Source organism: Homo sapiens, chromosome 20, assembly GCF_000001405.40.
Source record: "Homo sapiens chromosome 20, GRCh38.p14 Primary Assembly".
Classification (NCBI taxonomy): domain Eukaryota; kingdom Metazoa; phylum Chordata; class Mammalia; order Primates; family Hominidae; genus Homo; species Homo sapiens.
The window spans coordinates 42081592-42104178 of NC_000020.11; the positions used below are offsets into that span (position 1 = coordinate 42081592).

The 22587-nt window shown below is 47.3% G+C and overlaps 1 protein-coding gene and 1 long non-coding RNA gene across 16 annotated transcripts in view; one reads left to right on the forward strand and one right to left on the reverse strand.

The window, feature by feature from the left end:
- Nucleotides 1-22587, forward strand: part of LOC101927182 (uncharacterized) — a 204657-nt gene that overhangs the window by 177744 nt on the left and 4326 nt on the right. For 2 of the 5 annotated variants that reach the window (XR_001754608.2, XR_244179.4), the window contains exons 2-5: nucleotides 237-445; nucleotides 8693-8879; nucleotides 8988-9084; nucleotides 9254-9346. This is a non-coding gene — a long non-coding RNA (uncharacterized LOC101927182). The remainder of the gene's footprint in view (nucleotides 1-236; nucleotides 446-8692; nucleotides 8880-8987; nucleotides 9085-9253; nucleotides 9347-22587) is intronic. The other 3 variants (XR_001754611.2, XR_001754609.2, XR_001754612.2) reach the window with 2 other exon arrangements.
- PTPRT (protein tyrosine phosphatase receptor type T) overlaps nucleotides 1-22587 on the reverse strand; it is a 1158017-nt gene that overhangs the window by 49702 nt on the left and 1085728 nt on the right. For 10 of the 11 annotated variants that reach the window (XM_047439848.1, NM_001394024.1, NM_007050.6 and 7 more), the window contains 5 exons: nucleotides 20533-20706; nucleotides 16830-16961; nucleotides 4137-4262; nucleotides 3091-3254; nucleotides 291-426 (listed from right to left, as the gene is read on the reverse strand). In XM_047439848.1, the coding sequence (XP_047295804.1) occupies nucleotides 291-426; nucleotides 3091-3254; nucleotides 4137-4262; nucleotides 16830-16961; nucleotides 20533-20706 (732 nt within the window). Of the gene's footprint in view, nucleotides 1-290; nucleotides 427-3090; nucleotides 3255-4136; nucleotides 4263-14682; nucleotides 16962-20532; nucleotides 20707-22587 lie in introns of those variants that run through there. The other variant, NM_001394026.1, reaches the window with a different exon arrangement.

Here is a 22587-nt window from a genome sequence, read left to right on the forward strand (position 1 = left end):
GCATCCTTTCCTTTAGGCCTGAATTAATGACACTGTCTTAAGGAATGGGCAGAAAGTGAAGCAAAGTAGGTGTACCAGGATTAGTAATTGGATTTTCCTGCAAGAAAGAAAAGTTGGGGAGGTTGGAAGGGGAAGACACAGGACAGACAACAGTGCATACCAAGGGCACAGAATGCAGGTATACAATTAGCAGCCAGGTGTTGAGTGATGTTACTATTTGATGTCATTTTCTCCAGGTCAAGGGAACTAGTCAGCCCTGGCTGTTGGAGAACAGTCCTTGGGATACTCACCAGGGTCTCCACCATGTTGGATTTGTTGTTACGCAGTGTTTTCACGATGTGGAACACGTCAATGATGTTTTGCTGCTGGATCATCTCACACACACTGCAGATGGCACAGAAGGTTCCACTACGGCCTCCCCCATTTCTAAACACAGAGCAAAGAGGTGAGCCATGTTCCTAGGTCCCTTCCAGGCACCTGATGATTCTAAAGCTACATCAGTAGGAGTAGGGATCAGCTGTCTGGGCAGATGCAAGGCAAGGCAATGGTGAAGGCTTTAGCCTGAGCCATGAGTTATGGTTTGAGTCCCATCTGTGCCATTAACTTGCTTTGACCTTGGCCAAGTCACTTCCTCTGTCTGGGCCCCAAGTTCCCCACTTGTATAATGAAGGGGTTGGACTAGATGACCTTTGAGAGTTCAATTAGCTTGATGTTTTCTTGGTTCTATGAGCATGTTACAGTCACTCAGGGCACACTCACCCAAACCCCAAGGGCAGGATGGTACTGTGTCTTTGTACATGTGACACCTGCATCCTTGCTGATGCTTGCATCCATGTCCAAAAGAATGCTCTGGGTCCACTTAAACATCCAATAAAGACAATGAAAATTTCCAAGTGATTTTCCTACTAGTTCTTCCCATCCTCCACTAAGGACAGCAATGCTCTGTTAGCCTAGGGTCAGCCAGCCCAAGCTTGGAGGTAGGAACTTGGAGGGAGGAACTGGTCCTGATAGGCTTTATCTTAAAATGACAGGTCTCTACTATACACTTTGGTTTAAGCAAGATGCTACTGATCTTGAGTCTAGGGATACAGGGTTGGTGGCAGAACTGTGTCTCTGTTACTCCTTTCTGAAACTCCATAAATCATCTTCATGGAAACACCCTTCAAACTCTTTACAGACAGTCCCTGTAGGAATATGCCTGATTCAGAACTCCTGGGCGTGTTGCCAAGAGCAACTAATGATTTCATGTAATGGTCTGTGTCTAAAGAACATCTGGACAGAAACTAAGGCACTCAGTCAATCTCCCAGATGTTTTATCTACAGGACATGCAGTGACCAGATGTTTCAAGTACAGAGAGTTGCTTTCCATTCACTGACTGGTGCCTGCATTTCAAGGTCTGTTATGGTGTCTGTGGCCCTCAAGGAAACCAAGTTCCCTGTTGGTAAAAGAATGCCCCTGTACCTTCCTTTGGCTCAAACTACTGGCCACCTTGGCTGGAAAGGACATAGATAAAAAGACACTAGTGCAAAAAAAAAAAAAAAAAAGCAGGCTAAAAAACAAACATGAGAGAGAGAGAGAGGAGAGAAAGGTCTCCTATGAAAGACGGTTCTATCATTTCTGAAGCAAGAATAACAGCGTCCAAAAGGAAGAGGTGAGTAGACACAGGGTCTCAGGGCCTGGTGGTGTGAGACCCTGAAAGATGGGTGCTAAGGTAAGGTCACCTGAATGTGTGGGAGGCATCTGGGCATCTGGAGGCAGCAGCTATTAGCTGGCAGGAAACCAGCTGCTAGTTTCTGGGATGTGGGCAGAGCCAGCTGGGCTTGGCTGATGTCACCCATCAGCCTGACTTGGGACACTACGCAGCATCTTCCTGAACTCTAGCCTGAGGTTTGCTTCCTCTGGAGAAGAATTTTTGCTGCAGGTGGTGGCCCTGAAGCTCTGTGTGTGCATCTCTATGTGTCTGTGTGTTTAACCTCCTTTAAGCTCTTTGACTTGCCTAACATGTGCATGCACCACCTGTTTGAGAGGGAGAATAATTAGCTGGTTTTGAAAAGACTGACCTCAATTCTGAGGTCAGTCAGATGTTATCAGTGCCTCCACTAGCTCCAGAAATATTTGTTGTAAGAAAGAGAAGACCTTCGTTCAAATTTCCTTTAACATAACATTTTAAAAGAGAGAGGCCTTCTCAATGACTTTTCCTCAAATCGTTGAAGTTCTAAGAAGCAAAGTGAGTGTGAATCAAATATTTCACACATAGCTGTTATGGCTGCAGATTTGTTTTGGGTGTGAGACTTTGTAGAATCCTCTGTGGTCACTCTATACTCCCAGGATAGATTCTGTGACACTTGCTCTTTTAAGTAATTACATTTACGTTTGCATATTTGCTACCATGACATTCTTGGTCTCTATGTTGGCAGATAAAGTGTGTTCACTTTCTATTTCATGCCAAAGCACTATAAGGTCTGAAGATTGTCTAATTCCACATACCCAATGAACAGACGAGGAAACTCAGGCTTATAAAATTCAGTGATTTTCTTGACGTTGCACAGCTTGTCAGCCACTGTCCTCTCGAGGTCCTGACCTCCACCCAGCGTAATGACACCAGAATTCATTAGACTGGACAATGTCCATTCGAAGACAGGAGGTAAAGTCTCCAGTTCACCCCAGCAATGGGGGTATAAACACAGCTGGTCTGGAGCTCACTGTGCCCCTGCACAATAGTGTTCCTAGAGTCCTTCACATCCATCTATCAGCCCCTGAGGGCAGTGCCTTTCCCTCATGCTCTTTTTGTCCTATGATCCCTTTAAGCCCATTGTAGAGAAGCAGGCAACCTCCTCTCATGTTTGTGGAAAGACCACTAGGTTTTGCATCAATAATATGTCATATATTAGTTCAGGACAACAAACTGGCAGCCCCGTTCCATTAAAGGATCATAATTCCTTTGAATGTACTGCCACTAGCCTTTGAGGGATGTTGAGTTGTGGTATAGCCAGGCCTGCCTAGGACTGGGGTATGTGGCCAGCAGCATCTGCAAGGATGCTCTATCACCCACCACCCTATTGCCCTGGTGACACCTCCCTAGTACTCACAGGCAGTGGACCACAGTACGTCCCTCCCTCCCGTCATACTGCTCCTGCCACTTCTCCAGTCGTCGGACCACTTTGAGCAGAGAGCGCTTGGAGGGGGGCGTGTCCCGGTAGGCAGGCCAGCCAATGTACTGGAGGTGCTGGACTATACGATAACCATCCTGTGGCTGAGAACAGAGAGGCTGTTAGGGCTGTTCTGCTGGGGATGCTTGCGTACATGCACCTTGCAGATACCCCGGGGACTGCAGCATCATGGTGGAAGACAGACCAAATGGGATCTAAGCCATGTCCTCACGGGGAGAGTCCCCATGACTACTTCTATTCCTTCGTGTACACAGATTCTCTTGCCGTGACTGCCCTGAACCCCCTTTTGTACCTGAAAAACTCCTGCTCAGCCTTCAAAACCCAATTTAAATGTCCCTTTCTTTAGGAAAGCCTTCCCTGACTCTGTTGGGCAGAGTTTTTTCTCCCTGAGGCTCATGTGCCAGAACATGTCTCACTGTCTCAGTGGACAGTGAACTCTGAGCAGGGGGGTAGGGGAGGTGCTGAGCTCCTTTCATCCTGGGCCCCAAGTAGTGACCAAAGCTGCATTAGTTAGCAACCATTTCATAGATTGCTAATCTGCCCCTCCCACCCACTACTCTGCTCAGCCAGTGAACATCCTCATGGAAGTAAGTAATCACTTTTCATCTAGGTGTTGGCAGTGCCTGGCCCAAAGCTTATGGGATCCAATCAAAGGCTGCATCAACTCATGCCAGTACAGAGACACAGTGGGGAAGAGCTAATGTCTAAGAAGTTTTGTCTACACGGCAGCAAGTGTGTCAGGAAACAGGCAGATGGCAGGTTGGATGTCGCTCGTTGCATCTCTATGTGTTGGAGTCATTGCTGAGTCTGGAGCCGGAATCAGCACAGGCATCACTTCCTCAAGGAAGAAATTATCAGGAGAGCACAACACAGACTCTTGGCTGGCTCAGCGGGATCCTCTCTCGGCAGCCTCCATCTGTCTTGGGGAGGAGGGGCTCAGCAAGCAATGGCGGCCGTGTACTTACCCGGGCCATGTTACAGATGCGGAATATTCTGTGGATGATGTCCTCGTCGATGTCTGCGGAGACGAACTCCACCTGGATGGGCCCATAGCACCCGGAGGTCTTCTCAGGCCAGTACTGCATACAGAACTGAGATAAGGAAAGAGGTCACAGAAGGAGCTCAAAGGCAGGGGGCGGGTATCAAAGTCTCATTTATCAACAAGCTTTTCTTTTCTTTTTTTCTTTTTCTTTTTTTTTTTTGAGATGGAGCATCACTCTTGTTGCCCAGCCTGGAGTGCATTGGCACGATTTTGGCTCACTGCAACCTCTGCCTCCCAGGTTCAAGTGATTCTCCTGCCTCAGCCTCCCAAGTAGCTGGGATTATAGGCACCTGCCACCATGTCTGGCTATTTTTAGTAAAGATGGGGTTTCGCCGTGTTGGCCAGGCTAGTCTTGAACTCCTGACCTCGGGTGATCCACCTGTCCCAGCCTCCCAGAGTGCTAGGATTATAGGTGTGAGCCACTGTGCCCAGCCGTCACCAAGCTTTTTTTATGGCTGGAAGGACACATTGGCCAGAAAGGTAGAGTATTATGTAGGAAATTAGACTCAGTTTCCCCTTTAGGGAGCAGCCATCCACTTTTTCTGGTGTTGAAATATCAAGGCTTTGAGCACAGAAACACTGGGCTTGCAAATCTTTGCTATGTTGATTTCAAACCATTTGTTAGGTTTGCTTAACCTGAGTTTCCTCATCTGTAAAATGGGGAGAATAATATCTACCTCTAAGCCCCGCTGTCAGGATTAGATAGAACATGCTAAAGAAAGGGCAAGTACCATCTATTTTTCTTTTCACCACGCAAATCATCACAAGCTCTTCCTCATTCCAGGAAAACCTTCATAGTGTTCATTCATGATCAGATCAGAAGTAGTGTAAAAAATATAGGGGTTTCGGGAGGCGGAGCTTGCAGTGAGCTGAGATCGCGCCACTGCACTCCAGCCTGGGTGACACAGCGAGACTCCATCTCAAAAAAAAAAAAAAAAAAAAAAAAAAAATATATATATATATGGGTTTGACCTCAGGCGGCCTTGGGTCCAAATCTGGTCTCAGGTGCTCACTAGCTGTGCAGCCCAGGCCTCAGTTTTCTCATAGGTAAAGTGGGGATAATTATGCTTACTTTGCACCAAAAGTTAATGTCACATGGTGCTGACAGATCTTGCCTATGATTCTTTCTATTTATCTGGAATTGGAAATTAGAACCTACAGCTGAGAGCAAAAGGCAGTGATTGACCTTCTGTTTAAGACAGTGGTTCTCAGTCTGAGACTGTTTTGTTTCCCAGAGGGCATCTGGGCAATGTCTGAAGACATTTTGATTGTCACACCTGCGGGTTGCTATGGGCATTTAGTGAGTAGAGGAGAGGATGCTACTCAACATCCTGCAGTGCACAGATTAGCTCCCCCCGAGAGTTATGTGGCCCCAAATATCCATAGTGCAGAGACTGAGAAAACCTAGTATAAAATCATTATAATTATTATTATTATTATTTTTGAGACGGAGTCTCACTCTGTTACCTAGGCGGGAGTGCAGTGGTGCGATCTTGGCTTGCTGCAACCTCTGCCTCCCGGGTTCAAGTGGTTCTCCTGCCTCAGCCTCCCAAGTAGTTGTGACTACAGGCATGTGCCATCACACCCGGCTATTTTATTTTTTTTATTTTTATTTTGTGTTTTTAGTAGAGACAGAGCCTCACCGTGTTAGCCAGGATGGTCTTGATCTCCTGACCTCGTGATCCACCCACCTTGGCCTCCCAAAGTGCCGGGATTACAGGTGTGAGCCACTGCACCTGGCCATAAATTATTCTTTAAGCTTCAGGGGTCATTGAGAAGAAGAGATGGAGGCTGGGTGCGGTGGCTTACGCCTGTAATCCCAGCACTTTGGGAGGCCAAGGTGGGTGGATCGTGAGGTCAGGAGTTCGAGACCAGCTTGGCCAAGATGGTGAAACCCGTCTCCACTAAAAATACAAAAATTAGCCGGGTATGGTGGTGGGCACCTGTAATCCCAGCTACTCAGGAGGCTGAGGCAGGAGAATCACTTGAACCCAGGGGGCAGAGGTTGTAGTGGGTGGAGATCACGCCACTGTACTCCAACCTGGGAAACAGAGCAAGACTCCATTTCAAAAAAAAAAAAAAAAAAAAAAATAGAAGAAGAAGAAGAGATGGATATCTTGTTTCTTGTATCTTTGTCTCTGTTAAGCCACTAGATAACTTTAGCTGAGGAGAGAATGTTGAGGTGGGGGGTGGGGTGTGTGGCTGCAGAGAGGAGCAAGGCATGCTCCCTCCAGTTCCTGGTTCCCAAGGGGCACAAGATGGATCCTGCCTAGGTCTACAGGTCCCATTGCTGGGGTACAGAGGGGAGACAAGATTGCGGCTGCAGGCTCGCTGGGGACCACCCCAACATGAACAAAGAAGTCATGTGTTAGACCCTTCATCTGGGGGTTACCCTGAAGATATAGCCAAGATTCACAAAGAAAGACCCACCGAGGCTTCTGAGAGCAGTTTGGGATTGAGTCTCTCCTCAGCGGGGGTCTGGTTCAGGCTACCCCAGGCTTGCAAATAGGGGGCTAGATGGACAGAAGTGACCCACCCCCTACAGATGCAGGGTTTTCATCGAAGGGGGTGCTTGCTCTCCACTTCGTGGCCGAAGAACAGCCATCTCACCCTGAGAAGTCACATGTGAAAATACCTTCATTCTCTCCTTCCTCCAGAACTAGAATTAGAAGGGAAGAGCAGCGAGCAGGAAGGATGTAGGAGATGGAAACTCATGTCTCCCACCTTCTTAGCTGTGGAAACCCCAAGTTCTAGCTTAGGAATATTCACCTTATAGCAGCAGTTGGCATACTATTGCCCACAAGCCAACCCAGCCAGCTGCCTATTTTTGCATATAAAGCTTTGCTGAAACACAGCTACACTTATTCATTTATGTATTGTCCACAGTTGCTTTCATGCATCACCCACAGAGTTGGGTAGTTGTAACAAAGACCATATAGCCTGCAAAACCTGAAATATTTCCTATCTGGCTCTTTACAGAAAAAGTTTGGCAACCCCTACTTTATAGGGTTGTTCTGAGGATAAAGGACATAATTCATGTAAATAAACCCTTACCACAGTGCCAGGCATGGAATAAGCATTTACTAAATTCCAGTGATTCATACCATTGTTGAATCCATCAGTGCTCAACAAAAATAATAATAGTAATAGCTATGATATATAAATTTGAAGGATTCTTCTTATCGCCCCTCATAAATAGCATAAGTATGCAAGGTTAAGCTTCAGAACGCAATGATGCCTTGCTTTCCTGGCGTCTCCACTGGGGGTTAACCAAGCATAGTGAGAAAGGAGCTCTGAGTGTGTGTGAGTGTGTGTGTGTGTGTGTGTGTCTTGTCGGGCGCTGGTCACGGGCCTCCATGGCTGGACAACCATCTGCTGAGCTGTGCAATGATGACAAATCCACAATTTGAACTTCATTTCTCTTTGCCATTGGCTCTTCCGCCTTGCAACCTTCACAGTAATGAGAGATTGGTACAAATAAGTCTATGGTTGGTCAGAGAAACCAGAATTAATCAGAACTGCCCATTAAAAAAAATAATTGCCTTTATCACCTGCACTGAATTTAGGGTTCCTAGAGTTTGGCTGTGATCCTGACACAAGGTGCATGGATCCAAGGTATCAGGGAAGTCCTATTATCCCCAATATCTTCAGTCTGGAGAGAATGTGGAATGATTTGTCTCTTTTAATAAGATTTCCAGACCAATTTCTCAAGCTGATAGATTCTACTACGCCTCAAACAAGACTCCTATATTTCGGGACACTTCTCTGCATTCGATTTTCTGGGTCACTCTCTCATAATGCCCAGAGGGCTGGGGAAGGTTGCAGGCTTTTCTAATCCTAAATCAGAGTCATCCTTTCACTTGGATGCCCTAATTTGTGAGACTACAGCAGCAGCAGAATGGGTGAATTCAGCAGGGTGATGTGCTGGCAAATGTGGTGTTTGAGCTGCCAGGGATCATCAGGGTCTCTCTGCAGCCCGGGACACTGCATATATTCTAGCCATGGGAAATAAGAGAAAGAAAGCAGGGGGGCCATGTTTTCTCTTCCCACTGACCCTTTGGGGCTCAGAAATGACTCTCATCAATAAGAAACATCCTCTGTGGTTTAGCTCAAGACTGTCCTGGTGTTCAAGTGCTGTAGCTGCACCTGAATGGATGCTACCATTTTGGTTTGCTTATGTTGTGTAGCAAAAGGTGCGAAAATGCATTGGGGTTTCTTCTTGAAGCTCCCTGGATTCAAATCGTGGCTCTATCACTTTCTAGTTTGAATGGCTTGGCTACATCTCTTAGCTTCTCCAGTTTGTTATGAGTGGCTGTGAATTTTAATGTCTACTTAGCATAGGGATCTGTATCTAGCAAGTACTCAATTAATGTAAGCTGTGATTATTAGGCAGTATGGGGGAGGGTTCCTCAAACCAAGATGGATAAATAGATGATTTTTTTCCTCCACTTAGTAGCTTTTATGAAAATTTCTCTTTAGGATAATACTCAAAGGACTGCCCGTGTGGAAATTCTGGATCAGCCAGCTTGGGGTAGCTGTGAAGATGAGTAGCATCCTAGATATGGGATACTGCATGTCAAAATACAGAGATCTGTGGGTTGCTCCGATGAGCTGAATGACCCAGAAGATAAAAGAGGAAGGTTGAGATCACTGTAGAAGCAGTGAGGTATAAAAGGCAACTCAGTGTGTCACATAACCCTGCTCCTAAACTCTGAAATATGCCATAAACTCATAATAGCATGTAAAATGCATACTGTGCATGTATTTCTTGCAGAAACCAGCAAGAAACTGAGCTCGGCTCCCTGGCTCACATAGACATGGAACAGAGATCACATCTGTGAGTGGAGGAGCCAGACTTTTCATATAAGCACGTAAGCATCTGCGATTTATACAACTCCTGGGGAGGGAAAGCTTATGGTTTCTTAAGGCTCAGGAAATGGGAATTCTAGGAAGCCTACTTGCCTCTTTAAGATCACGAGGACGTAGCTGACCTAAAGGCCACACTTACCCTGAATGCAACCTTGACATTTTCTTCCTTAGATGTAAAACTTTTGAAGTTGGCTGATCCAAGAATAGATTCAAATTCTTCAGCCAAGAGTCTAGACCAACTGACTTTTTCCACTTCATTGCCTAGTAAGTACTCTCTCCTACCCTTTCTTTTCCAGTGGTCTGAGGGTGAAAGGTGATACTGCCTGAAGGGAGGGCTTTGCCACTGCAGATACATACAGGTAGTGGCGATGAACACACCGGGGAGAGGAAGTCAGTCCAGTTGTTGTTAATGATTTAGAAATAATCATGCTTCTTCCAAAAAAACAGAGGGGACTTTTGTTGTCTTTTGTCAGAACAAGTTAAACCAAGCAAAGGTTGTGAAGCCTGTGTGGATAGCCCTGGAACAGCTGCCATACATTATTCCACCTAGTGCTCTCCATGGCTGTTTGGGCCATGAAAAGATGTCCTTGGGGGGTGCAAGTTCACGTGTGATATATAACAAATGCAGAGGTAGCCTCACGCATTAAACGTCTTTTTCTTGCTGATGGAATCAGAAAGCTTGTTATCACTGGAATAAACATGCTCCGATGAGTTGAATGAAAACTAGCATATGGGTCTATTTTTGGAATAAACATTTTTAGAGCATATTTCAGTGCACCTTAGTTATGCCTTTCTTTTATTAAAAATACTTTGATAAAATGGAAAGGCCAAGTAATATCATCACGTTAGAAATAAAGGACTTTATTTATTAAGGCCCCTGCGACCCAGAGTGAAGAAATCAATCCCAGGCCACCTAAAGGTGAAGTGAATTGGTATTTTAAAGAGAGAAATGTAAGTTTCCTGAATTGCTTTTAAAATTCAGCATCAGTGATTATAAAATTCCTTTAAACAGATTCTATAAAGATCCAAAAATATATAATTGGCTTTGATACTATGTCCAGTTAAGGAAGGCAGACTGTGAATGAAGGCATAAAGAAGACAGGGACAGAGGGAGAAAGAGAGGGAGAGAGAGGGGGGAGAGAGAGAGAGATTCACACATCTCTCCTCATTGTATCCTTCCAGTAGTCCCATGAAGCTCCATAATACAATCTCCACATAGTGGGTGGAAACTTACTCTTAAAACAGCTGCATCAGAGTTTGTTTCAGGGAAGGAAGGGTTGGAGTTTAGGAACTTACCTACAGAAGAGTCTTGGGGTGGGAGGCAAGGCTCAGAGCAGGTTTAAGAAAGACGTACTAAGGAGATGGCTAGATTTTGCAGCTTAAGAAAGGAACAACTTTTGGGGAGAGGGTGGAAGAGCTGAGAAGGGAGGGATGGGAAAGGAGGTAAATGGGAAGAAAATGGTTTGGGCAACAGGGTCAGGGGAAGATGTGTTACTGCTAGTGAGAGCTGAGGAGGCAAGGTGAGGCTTCAGAAAGAGGATGTGTGATGTTCAACTTGAAGTCATGGGCATTGCTGGGATATGAAGCTCATATCTCTCCGACTAAAGCCTCAGCTGAAACTTGGAAGTAAACATGAGAAGACAACCCCCTCAGAATTCTCAGAAATGTTGGGGATGGACATTGGGTTTTCCCATAGGATGGGGAGTAGGGAACAGAGCAAATTTTATTTAAATCTTCAAAGACAGAATGAACTTGGCTAACATCTAGGTTATAGTAATCTAACAAATGATAACATTAAGACTTGGAGAAAGTAAAGGAACTGGCTCAGGGCAACACAGTGAGTAAGTACCAAGGCTACAATTTGAACTCAGGTCTCTTGACCCCAGGTTTCTTTTTTACTGTTACCCCTACCATTCTGGTGGGGACAGAAACAGAGACACAGCCCCTTGCAAAGTCAGACCTGAGGCTGGCTGAGATGCAGGTTGGGTATTTTGCATATTTTGCTGGTGTGTTAGGCTGTGTTTTCACAAGCCCAGACTAAAAATGGGGATATTAGGAGTTGCTATTTGCCCTAGAGGCACAATGGCAGCAAGAGACATCTCTGAAATAGCACCCTGCTTTTCTCCTGGGAGAATGAGGAGCTTGCCTCTCTCACTTCCATGGGAATCCATCACAGCCCCCATTATCCTTGCACTCAGGCACCCTCACCTTTCCAAAAGGCTTTGCATCCCTGATCTCTCAGGCTTTCCACAGTGGGAGCCCCAGAACAGAGCAACTCAGCTTTTATGTAAGTTGTGGACTCTTATTTGTTTTAAAGGAAAGAAACATCCTTGTATGCTCCATACACCAGGTGCCATAGCACATTCATAGGTCTCAGGGGTTAGGATGTGGACATCTCTGGTGGGGCCACGATTCTGGCTACCACACAGCCCCACCCTTTGGCTGGCATGCAGGATCTCCTGAGCTCTCTAAACAGTATGGTGAGTATGGCATGACTGCAAGGAGGGCTTCTTTCTGGTGTCTTTCTGGTGGTCCGTAGAGACCACAAAGAGGGAAAAGATCTTGTCAATGCTGTTGGATGTGGTTGAAAATGTTCTTTCTGCTGAGTCTGAGAAGTGACAGCATGCTTTGCTGGCTGGCGTGGTTCTAGGATTTTACCCCGCAAATCTGACCACAGACATTTGGAGTCCTAAAGAGTTAGAAAAATCTGTAAGGTTGAATGCAGAAGTTTGAATGCCTTTATTTTGAGCCCTCATTGATCATAATTACCTTTGAACAGCAACCACTGCAGGAATGAAAGAAAATTTGGGGCTGACTAAATGAAGTAGTGTAAGATTCTGAGCAGGGGCAGATTTGGCCAGCAGTGCAAAAAAAATAAGGCCCTGTGAGAGCTTACACCCTCTTCTTATTTTGCTGCAGCTTACAGGTAGCCCTGCCCAATCCCCAACGTACGCTCTTATGGTTCCCAGGCAAACCACAGGAGATGGCATCGGTCCTCTCAGGAGTGACCTAGCAATGCTCAGGTCCTAAGGCAGACCTGTCCATGTTGCCAGGCTGGGCTAGCTTGGAGGCTGCCTTGGCATGAGCACGCAGGCAGACAGATGCTGACGCCGCTTCAAAGAACCGCCCCTCCAGGTGCTGAGGGCGGCTTTTCTGATGCTCATCCTGTGTCATTGTTTATTTTCATAAGGCGCCCAGCTGCTGCGGTGATGATATTTATATCAATAAGTGCTCTATTCATCTGCCGGTTTCAGGGAATGCTTGCCAGCTGCGTATGGCAGCCAACCTCAGGGTACTTCTGAGCCTGATGTTTTTGCATTTAGAGAATCAGTTCTCAAACTCTGTACCAACATCTGGGCCTGAAAGATTCTTCATTCACCCAGGACCCACCCTGAAAGGGGGAGCTATAGCCAATGACCTTGACCTTTGTTTCAAAGGTTTTATATGTCCCGAAGTGAAGTTCTTTGAAAGTCATCCTCTGTGCCTGAGCTCTGGTTTTGCAGAAAGGGATGTTGAAAAAGAGAAGAGCAAACAGGGTTTTGCAGGCCAGACTTCATGCCCAGGCTCATGAGCTGAGTTCATTCTTTTATTTCTTCAGCCAAAAGCGTAGGGTGGTGATGCCTTCAGACTCCAAAACTCTGCAGGGAATGTTCCAGAACTCTCTGTTTTATGAGAATTCATTTATTTTTTATAGTTATCTCAGTTTCTAACCTTCTATTGCTCAGGCCCCAATCATTGACATTATCCTTCATTCCTCTTTCTTTTTTTGACAGGGTCTTACTCTGTCGCCCTAGGCTAGAGTACTGTGGTGTGATCACAGTTCTCCACAGCTTTGATCTCCTGGGCTCAAGTGATCCTCCTGCCTCAGCCTCCCAAGTAGCTAGGATTACAGGCATGGACCACCATGCCCAGTTCATTTAAAATTATTTTGTAGGACTGGGTGCAGTGGCTCATGCCTATAACCCCAGCACTTTGGGAGGCCAAGATCAGCAGATCACCTGAGATCAGGAGATCAAGACCAGTCTGGCCAACATTGGGAAACCCCATCTCTACTAAACATACAAAAATTAGCTGGCTGTGGTGGCTCACCCCTGTAATCCCAGCTACTTGGGAGGCTGAGGCAGGAGAATCGCTTGAACCCAGGAGGCGGCAGAGTTGAGATCGCGCCACTGCACTCCAGCCTGGGCGACAGAGTGAGACTCCATCTCAAAATAAAAATTCTTTTGTAGAGACAGGGTGTCACTGTGTTGTCCAGGATGGTCTTTAACTCGTGGCCTCAACTCCTGACCTCAAGTGATCCTGCTTCCTTGGCTTCTCAAAGTGCTAGGTAAGATTACAGGCATGCCTGGCCCTTGATTCCTCTTTCTCTCTCTTATTCCATAGTCAATCTCTCTGGATGTGTTGTTGGCTTTACCTTCAGAATCTACCCCCCAGTTCAACCAACCTCACCTGCCACCTGAATTATCACAGTAGTCTCTTGTCTGTTCTCTCTGCTTCCATTTCAGAAACCACTCTTCCCCATCCTTGCACCAACAATCTATTCTCAACACAGCAGCCAGAGGGATGCTTTTATTAAAAAAGGCAAATTATGTTGCTCCTCTGCTTCAAACATGTGCATGGCTCTCTGTTTCTCTGAGAGTGAAAGCCCAAGTTCTTCTATGTCTTCCATGGCCCTCTGACCTCACCTTCTGCTGCTTTCCCCACAGTTGTGCTGCTCTGCCCATGGCCTCTGTGCTGTTCCTCAAGGGCACCAGGTGCATGCCTACCCTGCAGCCTGGGTGCAGGTGTTCCCTCTGCCTGTGATGCCCCCCTGAGAGTCACATGGCTCACTCTCTCACCTCCTTCACGTCTGTGTTCAAATGTGTTCTTCTCCATAGGGCCCACCTTGACAATCCTATTGCAATGACATTCTATGTCCCAGATCCAACGTTCTGATCTTTACTACCCTGCCTTCTTGTTTGCCTTTTTCCAAACACTCGTGTCAGCCTTCTAACTTATAATTGAGCACATTAGAGAATGTGTGTTGCTTATTATCTGTCTCCTGCTTTAGAAGAGAAGTTGCATGAGAGATGGCAATTTTTTTTTATGCCTCGCTTTGTCTGTGTTGCTCAGTGATGCATTCCAAGCACCTAGAATAGCTTCCAGCAAATAGCAGATGCCCAACAAATATGGGTTGCCTGAATCAATAGACTCTCTCCGGAACGTCTCTCACAGGCACATCCCAAGGTGCACTCAATTTCATCCCCTGTTCATCTGCTCTTCTCGCTGCCTTCCCCTACCTTCCTGACTTTCATATTTTCCCCAGTTATATCCCCAGTTGCCTAATTGCCCAGACTCAACTTCCTGCCATTATCTGCAACTTTCCTTCTTATTCACCTCCCACCTGCACCTGCTCCCTAAACCTTGGGGACTTAAGTCTGGAAATGTTTTCACGTCCAATTCCAGTCCTCTCACCTCCTGGCCACTTCTGCAGTTCAGATAACTACCTTTATTGTCTACACATTTGCAACATTCTCCTCCCCGGTCTCCTGGTTTCCAGGTCTTTCCTCCGGCCTTTTACCTGCACTGATCCCCAGACCTGGCTTTCTTTTTATTCTTACCCTTTTTTTGCAATTTTTATTTTTTTTATTTTTTAAGAGATGGGGTCAGCCAGATGTGGTTGCTCACGCCTGTAATCCCAGCACTTCAGGAGGCCGAGGCAGGGGGAACACTTGAGGTCAAGAGTTTGAGACCAGCCTGGCCAATATGGTGAAACCCCATCTCTACTAAAAATACAAAAATTAGTCGGGCATGTTGGCACACGCCTGTAATCCCAGCTACATGGGAGGCTGAGGCATGAGAATCACTTGAACCTGGGAGGCGGAGGTTGCAGTCAGCCAAGATCGCACCACTGTTACTCCAGTCGGGATGACACAGTAAGAGTCAGTAAAAAAAAAATGGGTTCTTGCACTGTCACCCAGGCTGGAATGCAGTGGTGGGATCATAGCTCACTTGAGCCTTGCAGTGCTCAAGCAATCCTCCCGCCTCAGCCTCCTGAGTAACTGGGACTATAGACACATGGCACCATGCCTGGCTAATTAAAATTTTTTTTTTTTTTTTTTTTTTTTGTAGAGACAGGGTCTCATGGTGTTGCCCAGGCTGGGCTTGAACTCTTGGCCTCCCAAAGTGCTGGGATTACAGGCATGAGCCACCATGCCCAGCCTCTAGACCCATCTTTCTAACAGGAACCCTGGCTGTGTTATACCACTGTCAACCCTCCAGTGTTTCACCTTCCTGCACAGAAAGTATTTCTAACTGTGCTCCTCCAAACTCCAGTGGTCCCACAAAGGACTGACCCCTCTAAGGGCACCAGGAGAAAATGAGACAGCAGTGTGGGTGGAAGCCCAACCCCTGCCTACTGCTTCATCATGAGCAGCTTTTGGTCATCCCTATTTCATACATTGGGCTTGCATGAAAGCTTTTATTCATAGAAAGGATTCTGTCGCTTACAAAGTAGAAGTCTGAAGCTTGCTATGCTGCCAACCAAGACCCAAGCTCCTTAGCCTGGCACAGGGACCTCTCTGCAAGCTGGGCTCTGCTGCATTTTTCAGCCTCACTACATTCTTCTCCTCCTGATATTCCTCTAGGTCCCAGCCACACTGGAACATAAACTGTTCCGCAAATAAGTCTGTGTATATTCATCCCCTGCCTCGCCTTTGCCTCTGCTGTTCCCTCTGCCTGAAATGCCTTTTCCCAGTGAGTTCAGCCTCCATATGCCTAAAGCTCCTCTGCCTTCTTCAAGGCCAAAGTCACCTTCTTTTTGAAGTCTTCCCTCACCCTCTGGGCAGAATTCATTGCTCCCTGCTCCTGGCCAACACAGCACTTCACTGCTGACCTCTATTATAACACAGCCACATGAGGTTGGGACAATGTGCTCATCTGTCTCTGGAGCAAGACCATGCGCTTTTGGAGGGCTGAAACTATAGCTCAGGTCTGTTTAAAAAATTTTTAAATTCCCATCCAAGGCCTGCACAAGGCCAGCTCTCATATGGGAATTCAATGTTACTTTAAGTTTTATTTAAGGCAGTGAAAGGATAGGTTTTTAAAAATCTGAAGGACCATTCTCAGCTCTTCCACCCCAGAATGGCTGCCCTGGCATAGAAACTGTTCCAAGATACACGTCCTGTGTCCTGAGTATGGGGATATGCTGTAGGCACGTGATGCTTGGAGCTATCAGAACAGAGGGGCTAAGGCAGGAAGCCTGCCGGGGAACAAAGGTCAACCGTGAGGAACTGGGGCTTGGTGGGGTGGTCAGTGGGTAATGTGTCCAAGGTTCAAGTCCCAGGCTCTGTCTGTACAGGCTGCATTGCAGAGGGGGAAGGGAGGTGAGTGTGGCCGGGCATCTGGGTATTTTTCAGGGCTGCAGGTGCTCAGTGCTGGGGGAGGAAGCCTCCTGGCTCTGCAAGATCTGTGTGATTTGGAGCAAGACAATAATCAATGCTTGTGAGATGGAGCAACAGAGTCTGGTCCCGGGCGGGGAGTTGGACAAAGCCCATAGGCAGGGGGAGTCTTTGCTGGAGGTCTGGGGGGTGACAGGACCCTCTGTAGGTAGCAGAATGGCTTGTCTGATGCTCGTGGCCAGACACTGCTTATTACAAGACAGCTGGCTGGGGCAGATGTGGCAGGCACCGGCTGTCAAGGGATCTCCCTCCAGGTTTAGAGCATGGCCCCCCTGACCCACCTAGGGCTTGGCTTGGCCTCCTCCTACCTGGGCAGTGTCCATCTCATTCAGCATCACCACAGAGGAGCAGTTGTAATCGAACACCAGCCTCCAGAAGTCTGCCACGGTGTTGGGTAGAGGGTGCTGGGTGACCACGAAGGCGGCAGGCTGCTTGTGGCTCTGACAAAGGAATGACACAGGCTTCGTAAATTACACATCCATCAGTGATATTCTGATGATGATGAGGCCTGGACTGAGGCCAGAGGCTCCAGAGCCTGCCAAATAGATTATACAAAACACCTGCCTGTTCTTTTATCTCTCCACGCCCTGGCGGCAAAGGGGACCTTCTCATAATGAACACAATCTCCTCCAAACTAAGACATTTCATTAGGAAAGTGTCACTGGGATGGGATTATCCAAATAAATTATTTATGCCTCGGAGCTCAGCAAATAATCATAATTACAATACGAAATGAAAGATTTCAGATGCAGATTTGTTGCTCTACTGGTCAAGACACCTCTTGGGATATAAGGGATTGGCCGCATCCCTGTGGCCACGATGCTGGGCGAGGTTTTGGGTCGGCCTGAGGCCGAGATTCTCCCAAAGGGGCAGGCTCCCTTCTGCCTCCAGGCTGGAGTGAGGGGCTGAGTTGCCCTGGCAAGGTGGGCACTGTGTCATGTGAGTCAATGGGGCAGTGGAAAGTACACATGCATTATTAATAGTCCGGTAGACCTGGGGTTCAAGTACAGCTTTACCACTTGTAAGTTATGAGTCATCCATCTGTCCATCCATTTGCCCATTTATTCATTCATCCATTCATCCATTCATTCAAACTTTGTAGAGTGCTTTTTTTTTGGCGGGGTGGGTGCTAAATACTGGCAAGTTATTAGATGATTCCAAAGCTCATGTTCTTCACCTGGAAAACGGAAATCATAAATCCAAAGGAATGATGTCACACAGATTGAATGAGATTTACGTGTGAAAAGGCCAGCAAACAAGAGCCGGAACGTAAGCCTACTGGCAGGGCAGAAACACCCCTGACTTTGTTTTACGTCCTTGGCACTGGTATTGTCGCTGGCACATGCTAGACAGTGCCACTCCAGTGAATAAAACAATAAATTCAGTCCCGTGTTGCAGATAGGGAAACAGAGGCCCAGAGAAAATGGCCTGGGCGGGGGGGGGGGGGGTGGGGTGGTCTGGCAGCTTCATCCAGGGCCCTATTTATTTTCTCCCCACCCTGAAGTCATGTATTTGAAAAGATTGGGAAGATTCTCCACTTCATCAGTGGCTCATGTGCTTGATATGTTTTCTCAAGAGATGATGATGGTTTCTGTGGGAGTTACAGCTGTTTTCAGTGCAGTTACAAGCAAGAGGGAAGAGGGCAAAGACCCTGGAAAAAGCAGGACAAAGCCTTGCAAACATGGATATCATGCGTGCATTGGCTGGGGGGGCCCTTCTTCCGAGGGCCTTTTCCTGGCCAGTAGAATGTTCAGAAGAGGGGTCTGGGTGGGCATAGGCAAATAATTTATTTTCCAAAAGCCAAACTCTCTAGCTGTAGACAGCATCAACTTTGAGCCATTTCCAGACATGGAAAAACATTGAGGCTTTGAGAGTTAACAGACTTGGGGCTCCAATCCTTGGCTCCCATTTCTGAGCTACTTGACCTTGAGCAAGTGATGAATGAAAATACTCTGACCCCGAGGACCTCATCAGAAAATGGGGATGAGAATACCCACATGCAAAATGGGACAGTGCAAGTCCAGGGCCCGACATGGTGCCCAACACTCAGTGAATGTTAGTTTTCTTTTCTTTTTCCCTGTCTCTGTGATAAACGCTCTATTAGGCCAGCACGCCTGACAAAGCCTTATCTGAAAATATGTTCGAGATCCGTGCTCCTGCCGGGTTTCAGGGATCAGCCGGCAATCCATTTCATGGATAACATCATCCTTTACCAGGGGAAACATTAAAAATTAACCCAGAGGACTTCATATTTTTCTGCTAGGAGCAAAGCTGCTATGGTTACCAGATAATGCACTGACTGGGCTGGAATACAGATAAGGACGACTTTTTTTTGTTTTTAATATCAGAAAGGCAAAGGCCCCAGTGATGGCTCACAGGAGAAATGCCCTGTGGACAAAGAGAATACAATCAGCATCAGAGCTTGGCAGAAGGCATTTGACTCCAGGCAGTATCTAACCTATTAAGTAGAGGCCAGGAGCTTATTTGATCTTTGCCTGGATGAGGAAGGCAGGGAGGGGGTGTTGGGAGAAGTGGGAGACAAAGCTAGGAGGAAATTGGAAGTATGGGCGCACCCCTAGGCTCCATTTCTCATCACACTCACACACATAATGCACACCTACATGCACACATACACATACATGCGCTCATTGACTTTAGAAGGCTCTAAGCTATAAGCTAATGCCAAAGGTCTTCTCTCCACCTCTAGCTACTTGCTATGACCAAGCCAAGACTCCCTGATTCTGAACCCAGAGCTAGGGTTTTTACAGAGGATATGGGCACTCTGTGGACAGAGGCCAGGGCAGGCCCCTAGAGAGCTGGGATAGGCATTGACCTTCCATCATCACCCTCCTGCCTCTAACACCCAGACCCTTGGGAGAAACTTCAAGAGGATTAGAGGTCAGAGAAGTTGTTGGCCTTGACCCCAGGAGAAAGCATCCCATGTTTCTGTCTATTCTGAGTGAGATAGGAGGGCCACATGGGCTAGATGGATGTGAACTCAGATGGGCTGGGGAGGGGAAGCTGGAAGGGCTCATTATATCAGGCAATGGTGTTCTTGGTTTTGAGCCTCAGGAGGTGAGATGTTTGCCTCTTATTGGATCCACCAAATTGCAGGGAGGCTCAAGAAATGAATTCCAGAGTGTGACCCAGGAGCTCTGTGTGTGGGCTGTGCCACTAGCTCCCTGGGTGACCTTGAGCAAGTCTCTTTCTCTGTCTGGCCTCTGTTTTCTCTGCTGAAAAGTGCATGGCTGGTAGTAGATGGTCCATAGTTCCTTCCTACTGCAAACACCTGTACACCTTGGAGGGGAAGTGATGATAATCAGAAGTATCCGAAAAACGCAGGGGAGAAGCTTAGGCTCGCTGGACCAGGAACATGACCCTAATCCCAAACCAGGGTAGGGTGAAGCCCCTTCCTGGACCTGATGACAAGAAAGTGGGGGGCAGTGGCCCTCACAGGACAGCCAGGAACACAGCCCGCTTCCACCCCATGCTTGTTTTACTGCTTCCCACTACTTTCCCAATAACCATTTACTGAGCCCCTACTGTGCGCCATCCTCATTTTTGTCTCTGCTCAGGAGTTATCTGGAACCTTCATGGGAGCTACCAGAGGGCAGAACCTGTGTCTGCACCGTCTTGTGTTCCCACGCTCAGGCCAAGGCCCAGCACAGAAAATACCTGCTTTACTAAACTTCAGGCTGAGAGTCGGCTCTGTGGGGAATGGAAGAGGTTGCTAGGCAGGCCTGTAGACTTGCCATGGTGACACGGGAGCCACCTTACGCTTCTGGTCTATTCTTTCCAGGCTCTTTGTATGAGAAAAGGAGCCAAGAGCCCACCTTGTGTCTAGGTTTGGACCAGAGCCTGCAGGGGAACAAAGGTCCTTGGGACTAGTAGATCAGAAGCAGGGGGGGCTGGCTGGTGGGGTCAGGGCCCTGAGGTCCAGCCACCTCCACCTCAGGAAGAATATTTGCCCTAGAATGCCAGCTAGGAGCTTTCTGCCCGGGCTCGGCTTACATCCATCAGTGCTGCGTTGATGTAATTGCTGGATTCTCCGTCCACTGAGATAAGGAAGGGCAGGCAGCGGTCCAGAGGCAGCACGTCCATACTTCGATTCTTATCATGGTTCCGGGGCAGGAGCCCAATGCTGCAGTCCTCGGGCCGCACACGGGGTGTCACAATGTTGAGGGTCTGTGGGGCACAAAGGTGAATAGATAGGCCCTGCTCATTTGGCTGCCCCTGAGCAAAAGAGACAGTAATGTTCCAACTCAGCCTAACTCGCCTATTTCCACCCTCTAAGCGCAGCCCCACTCTCCCTTTCCCGGGACCCATTTCTCTTCCACGGTGATGTTCTGTCCTCTCCTGCTCCCTGCTATAGGGTGTGTGAGCTGTGTGACACCTTCAAAACGCCAAGGCTGCAGAAGCAGCGCATCCACACACAGGCTCAGACACAGCCTCATAGTACCTGCCAACCAGATGAACTAAGTCGTTCAGCTCAGCCAGTGCTGCTTTAAAGGGTGGGCCAGCCAGGAGGGCATACAGAGGGGTGGGGGTAGGGAATCCCTACTGAGGGCTAAACATCACTTGCGTTGTCATGGAATGGGGGAAATGATTTACCAGCCCTCTTCTCAGAGAGAAAGCTGTCTGAGTATGGAAGGATGCCTAGATGACCTGCTCAGGATAGATGAGAGACCTCCGAGGGGCAAACCCTAACAGGTCTGGGAAATTGCTGTGTTTGGACTTTGCCGAGTACATCTTGCAAGTTTGAGGCCAGAGCTGAACTGCTCTAGCCAATGGACTAGATGTTACGTGCAATGACCAGTGTTCTGTACCCTCCATCCTTCCCTCATTCAGCTCTCTGTCTCTACTTCAGATCAATAATGGCTATTTGTTTTAGGGATTGCTAAGGTATTGGCCTGCCTGGGATATCTGCCCGTGGAACAATGGGCCTGGCATTTGCCCACTGACTTGAAGCAAGACCTGGAGCTTCCTTGCTTTCTCATACCTGGTTCTCAGCTCCTGTTGCCCAGGTGTAATTCTGACACTGGTCTTGGGATAAAGGGCTGGACTCTGGCTTTATCTTACTTAGTGATTCATGTCCAGGCTCCCTAGACCAATCAATGTTGCCACAGCTCTGACCGCATGGGCTTCCAGGTGTGGATCTGGTATACCTGAGCTATGTTCTAGGACAGTACTTCTCAAAGTTTAACATGCATACAAATCACTCAGAGATCTTGTTAACTTGCAGGCTCTCATTCACTATGTCTGGGCCAGGTCCGAGATTCTGCATTTATAACAAGTTCCCAGGTGAAGCCAATGCTGCTGGTCTCCAGACTGCAGGTTTTAAAATTTTATTTATTTTATTTTTTATGTTTTTGAGATGGAGTCTCACTCTGTTGCCCAGGCTGGAGTGCAGTGGCACAATCTCGGCTCACTGCAACCTCCGCCTCCCAGGTTCAAGCAAGTCTCCTGCCTCAGCCTCCTGAGTAGCTGGGATTACAGGTGCATGCCACCATGCCTGGCTCACTTGTTTTGTATTTTTAGTAGAGACAGGGTTTCACCATGTTGGTCAGGCTGCAGACCACACTTTTAGCAGTAAGAGTCTACTGAAAAATTACTGAGAGGACCTGAGTCCCTCCAGGGATGAAGGAGCATGAAATTCACACCTGTTTGTATAAATTTGTCTCCATTCACAACTTGGACTAGAACTGAATAAGACCTCAGTTAAAAAACATATTCACAGTTAAAGACAAGTACCAGCAATCCCTGAGTGAGTGTGTAGTTGCTCATGGCTGTGCATTTTGTGTTCTGGAATAGATTCTGCAGCTTCCTAGAGAAGCAGACACTGAAAGTGCATAGATCAGTTGTCCCAAAGAAAACCCCACAAATGTGCACATAGCCACTGAAGTTGGTTGGGTTACTGTTACGGACTAAATGTTTTCATCCCTCCCAAAATCCATGTCGTAATCTTAGCCCCCAATGTGATGGTATTAGGAGGTTGGGACTTTGGAAGACGTTTCGATCATGAGCATAGAACCCTCATGAACGGGATTAGTGCTCTTATAAGAAGAA